The 6506-nt window shown below is 32.3% G+C and overlaps 2 pseudogenes; both read right to left on the reverse strand.

Moving 5' to 3' along the window:
* On the reverse strand, positions 176-1545 carry USP9YP27 (USP9Y pseudogene 27; annotated as a pseudogene).
* On the reverse strand, positions 964-1123 carry RNU1-128P (RNA, U1 small nuclear 128, pseudogene; annotated as a pseudogene).

Here is a 6506-nt window from a genome sequence, read left to right on the forward strand (position 1 = left end):
ATTGCTTTATGCTTCTATTGAAATATTGCACATTTTTATGAACTAAGACAAGGTAGTACCTAATTACAAAGAAAATATCACAAGGGTAAAATAAAAGATGACCCCACTTAAACTATTCTTCTTCTGATCGTCTTGCCAAAGCTGTCCTAGAATTTTTTTTTTAGTTTGCAGTCACAGCTGATACGTTACAAAATATGTAATAAAATAATAATTGAAGACCATATAAGTAAATCATCAAAATGAGTTTTGAAAAATTATTATTATTATTATTTAACCTGTTGATACATAGAGCCTGTTGAATGAGGATATAATGGAGTATCTTCTGTTGGAGAGGTCTTATGCCCATCTAAAGCATCGTGGTCAACTGGCTCCAAATTCTAAATATTTAAAAAGATTGAAAATTTGATTATAAAAGTAACTTTATACCTTATATTTTATTTTCTTCATTAGAATAAACTTTTAAGAAATACAAGAAAGCTGACATCTATAACATGTTTACACTTCCTCAAATGATTTATAATTTAGGGAAAAAATCTGAATTATTTTAGCTACATAATTTTCAGGCCATTTCACACAAGTTGCTTCCAAAAGGAAACTACTTTTTAAGAACAAACAAACCAATGCTAATCATTTCACAAAGTAAATATTTTTAAGGGCAATATTAATACATAAACATTGGCTTATGCATTTAAAAATTACCTCTGTTTTTCCCAGATTTATCTGCGGCCTTTTGGGGGCTTCCCCCAGCCACCTCATCTAGACAAAGTTCTCAAGCATTTGCGAGTGTCATCCTAGCACTATTTGATGTTTCTAAGAAATAACCATTTGATGTTGTATTGTTTTGTACTGGAGGACACCAATTTTTGTAGGCATATTGAATTGTTTCCAGTATGTGGTTTCCTTTCAATTTTCTATATCCACTAAATGACTCAATTTTATTTTCTCTCTCTTTTTTTTCCCATGTGAAAGCACAAACACAGTCCTTCACTTCCACCAATTATGCATTTGAGTGTCCCACATTTGGGGAAATCTCACGGGTCAGCACATCTAGAGTGCAACATATCGGCCTTTCCCTGGGAAAGCCACCTTCATGATCACGGTATCTCCCCTGGCAGGGAAGTATCCATTTTCTTTTTAAGACTTCCATTAGCCTTTGAAAGAAAATACAAATAGAAATGTAATAGAATTTAGAATAATTTTCAGTATCAGCTTAAAATGTTAATTTCAATCATCCATGATTATTCTCTTCTAAAAAAGTTCTTAATTCTGACACAGGCTTCTACAAAATTGTAAGAAAAAACACTACGGTAAACAATGAAATAACTGCTAAACTACCACACATTTTATGCACTGATATGCTCATTTTTGATAGTGACTCTTAGAGCATTCTATTGTATCTAACAGCCATTCTCGGTCTTCTGGAATTTTATCGTGTGCACTATGAGCTTTAAAAATAAGCAGATGAAAATAATTGATAATATGTAGTAGTAGCTAATGTTTTACTGTCTAATATGTGCCATTCAGAACAAGTTTTTGAGGTAATCTAATTAATATCAGAGTTAGTTTCCTTAGAGGGTAGCATTAGTAAATCCACAAATAAAAAATCAATTACAGTTAGGTCAAATACTTTGCCAATTATTACAGATTTAGCCAGTTGAGGAGCTAGCTAGCAATCTGACCCAAACATCTGACCTCTTGGTGTATTGCCAATTTAAAATGTTTTGGCTAAATATACTATCCATGCATTACTACTAGCGAATTAAAAACTGTAATGCTATATTACTTTTCATGGTTCTATTTTTTGTTCTATACTTAGGATTATGCTCCATGGCCCAGGCTGGACTACAGTGACAAGATGATAGCTCATAACTCAATGAGGCCTCACATCCAGGGTTCAAGGAATACTCCTGCCTCAGCATTCTACCTAGTTGGGATTAGAGAAATGCACCACCATGTCCCACTCGCCTCATTACTTTTACTAAATATGAGTAGCATTTTATGACTACCTTTTTAAAGAAAAAACAAAACTTACTTGGTGTTCACTCATTTTTCAGAGACAACATTTTAGAATGTAAAGCAAGAATCTCATGATAATAAAACAGCAATATTAATTGGCAGTACAAAATTGATTTCAATTCTGATAGTAAATGAACACACACGATGGGTAAAGCAATTTTCAATGGCAACAATAAAATTTTCCTGATTTGCTAATGATCAGTCATTTTCTTTCAGAGCTGGCTAAATTGCAACATATTTACATTGCCAACTTTTTACTGTTCTTAGGAGTCAATATTAAAAATCACAAAAAAAGACTTCTGTCTTTTTTGTCATTACCATGACAGATAAATAAAATAGTTTGTTTCTCTCTACCATGTATCTTACTTAATAAAATGATATTAGATTCCAAGTCAGAGGCCAGGTTTTTTTTCTTTTTGCCATAGGAACATTTATAATATAAATTTCTTTTGAAAAAGGTAATTTTTATAATCTAATTTCAGGTAAAGAATAACATGGAGAGGCTTCTTGTAACACTTAAACAGTACACATTTCATTATCTTATTCTCTTAAAAATTATAATAAAGTAAAAATCATGTCATTTGCCACATTATTAATAGCATCAAAAGTTTTCATGTGAAATTTGGATTAATATTGTATTTGCCTATATTGTTATCTGCTGCCTTGAACAGTGTTGATCTCAGTTGAACACTGCCTATTGAATAGACTAAATGTTCATCAGAAAAAAAGATTCCAAGCTTATCTTAATAAGGAGAATAATAAATTTATACATGAAACCCACATTAATCCACATCAACTATTTTCCACATTAACCCAACATGTATACCTTTACTGTAATCACCTCCTTGGATGAGATGAGGCTAAGATGTGATTTAGCCTTACTTTAGAGCAAATACAAGAAGTTACATAGTAAACAATATATGACTACAAACAATTTTTTAAATGGTATAAATTAATTTCCATTGATAGGAACTCAATGTCATTCATACAACATTAATTATCTGCTTGAAATCTATGATGGTGGACCAAAGAACAATTAGAAAATTTTAATTGCTAAAATCTAATATTTCAGTTGTTTAAATTTAAAATTATCTTATGCCTTTAATTATTTTGTTCTACAGCTTCATAGTAACTTTATTTTATTATCAGGCTTTCATTGTGCTTATTATAATGTCTATTGAGTGAAAACGGTGTGTTTGTGTGTAGGTGTGTGTGTATAGAGTTTCCAGATATATAGTATGATTGTCTCTAGAATCCTATAACAATAACACTTTGAATCTCCTGGCAGAGTTGGGAAACTAATTTTGGTGCAATTCTTAGGCTTATTTTACTGCAGATGACACAACTAAGAATTCTAGAAGAATGCTCAAGATCTGTGTTTAGCATAAACATAGTTCTTTAAAATTATCATTTTTCTCAAAACCAGTCTGGCCACAATTGTGAAACCCCATCTCTTCTAAAAATACAAAAATTAGCCAGTCATGGTGTCAGGCACTTGTAATCCCAGCTACTCAGGAGGCTGATGCAGAGAATTGCTTGAACCCAGGAGGCAGAGGTTTCAGTGAGCCGAGATTCCGCTCCTGCACTCCTGCCTGGGTGAGAGTGAGAATTCCTCTTACACACACATGCACACACACCCACAAATAATAGTAATAATAAATAAAAAAGAAAAACTCTTCTCTTACATACTGATTAAACTAACTACTTAGAGGCTACGGACTGCTTTTGGATAACTTAATGTTGTCTGCCATGATAACATCAACTTTTTAAAAAAAGTTTCCATTCTAGTACATTACTTTCTATGACTGTTTTTCATTGTTACTTCTGTAGTAACACATGTATGCTTTTAGATGATTCCAAATTCTGGACATTTGTATCCATTGCAATTTTTTATTTGGTGTCCCGTATGTTTCTAAAAGGCAATCTGCTCAAACAGGTTCACTTTTTTCTATCAGTAAATTGCATTACTATTCTCTCAGCTTATCAAATCACACCCAGGACAGAGGTGTTAACATCTCTTTCCTACTCCACTTTCTCAAATATCCAGTTGGTAACCCCTGCCTATTCTAACTCATTAAGAGCTCATACATCTGTCCACACATATGTTCTACATTGCCAGCTTTTCTAATGTAGAGCACCCACAGTCTTTTTCTACAGATAATTTTGAATACTTCCTTACTGTGGTATATTGTGAAATTTTCTATGCTATAGCCAGTGAGATGTTACTAATATATGCCTTTTTTTATCCTCTGATGGTTTATCAAGTCACACTGAATATCTCACATAATTGCTAAAAAGCCAAGTTATGTCAATACTAAGTCTGTACCCACTGTCTACTTAAAAAAATCAACTTAACAAAGCAACCCTTTTCAACTGCAAGATGCTTTCTACTCTCCAAATCTAAGTCACATATGCCCTATAATAGGCAGAAGATCACCCTGTATTGTATTTTTTTTGTTGTTCATTATGATGTTTTGTATCCAACCTGGGCTGTTATTCTGTACTGTGTTTTCAAAATCATAATTAAGACAGATTCAAAATACTTTATCTGAAATTCAAAAAGCTCAATTAAGCAAGACTTTTTAAAAATGAGATTGGTATGTAACTCAATTTCTGATGTAATAAAGCCTTAATTGAGGGAAGCTGTTTCAGTCTGCATTCATGTAACATTCAGGCTTAAAGGGAATATCCATTTCTCTTCATAGAAATATTAATATGTTTGATTCTTGAGTATTTTCGGGGGCCTTACAGGGAATGGTACACAAAATGATGCAAATGTGTTGACTCAGTTTTCTCAAACGCAAGAATTCCTAAAACCTAAAACACAGTGCCTAAATGCCTTAAGATGTATAAATATATACTGAACCTTGGCAATTAAAATTAAACTTAGGTTATATCATAAACCAACCATGTGTCATGTATGAGCAACTAAAATCTCAAGTTAAATTGTGCAAAACAAAATTTTTGTGAATTCTTAGGTTTGATACTTTTACATTTAAAATAAATATGGTATTTATGTTTGTATAATATATGCTCCTACTCTACTAAAATTATCCCAACATCTCAGATGTAGTCAGGCTAGGCTGAGAAAAAGAAAGCACAGGGGTGGTCAGAGCAGGAAGAGTAAAGGGTAAAATTTATTTTCTCCCAAAGGTATATATTAATAATACAAATAACACTTTCATTACAGGAATGTGTGGCCATAGAACTTAGTTTTAGATAGTAAATTATTTGTGATTTTACCAAGTTCCTTAAAATGATCTGTTAATTGTCTGAGTCAATCATTCATATAAATGTGACTTCTAGCTCATCTTGCTGTTGAATGTTAGAGATAAGGCAGATGCATTCTAACCAACTCACACGTATACACAAAATCAACATGGACATGGAGAAGAGAATTAGTGTTTGTAGCAGTGTATTACTTACTAATAAAATTCAATGAATGGATATGGCTGTGTGATTAGTTGATGGGAGATGGGACAAATCCACTCATGGAGGAATATATTTTCTCAATAATGGCATCTTACATTTATAAACTGTAATGGTTTTCTGAAAATGTTTCTTTGATTTACATATGTAAATTAGAGAGCTAATAAAAGAGATGACCAAGACTTAAATTATAATTAAAATAAGAAACTTGACTACTATAGAATTTACACTTGGATTTTTTTTCCTGGAAAAATCAGATACTACTTTTTATATGTATATGAGTTTTATGCAATTAGCATTGTATTCTTGGTGAAACAAAATGATCTCCTAAAACAATAATGTTAGATATGAAAGATTAGAATCTATCATATTTTCAATGCATTCTTATTTAATTTACTTCTTCATTCTTTTCAAAATGACTTCACCTTTTTTATTTTCATTCCACATATCATTAGAATTATTCTCACTAGCAATTTCTCCATGATTTACACGCCATTAATGAACTTCTACCACCATATATCATGTTTCACAGCCCCAGGAGGAGGGAGGGCCAACAGTGGCACAAGAGTTGCTTCTTACAGTCTGTCACACATCCTGCTAAATTTAAGCTCTCCACGAATAAAAAGCCTTTCCATAGCCAGAGTTCAGCTTTAAGAAAAAGGCTAACTACTGAACTTGGAGAAAAGACAAATCTGCATTTGATAACTGATTTAACAAATATAATGTGTGTGTAGAGGATACAAAATTACAGTTCCACTACTGGGATAGTTACTATTTGTGTTACTTTCTTCACCCTTGTGGAAAGTCTACTAGTTGAAGTTAAACCATTCCTTTTTCACACAAGACACAAGCTAACCTTATCACTCTCAGAGGAAATACTAAGAAGGGTTGTACTTTGTCAGAGGGTAAATCAAGACATCTTTATTATGCCATGTGTTTACTTAGTGTCTCCTCTATTACTGAACATTGTTTAGTGATTTGCTCTCAAGGATTTTTGTGTTTGTTTCAAAAAAAATCCTTGCTACAATGATCAGACTTGATAAAGCAAATTGTGGTCTCTT

The sequence above is a fragment of the Homo sapiens genome, chromosome Y (assembly GCF_000001405.40).
Source record: "Homo sapiens chromosome Y, GRCh38.p14 Primary Assembly".
NCBI classification, from domain to species: Eukaryota; Metazoa; Chordata; class Mammalia; order Primates; family Hominidae; genus Homo; species Homo sapiens.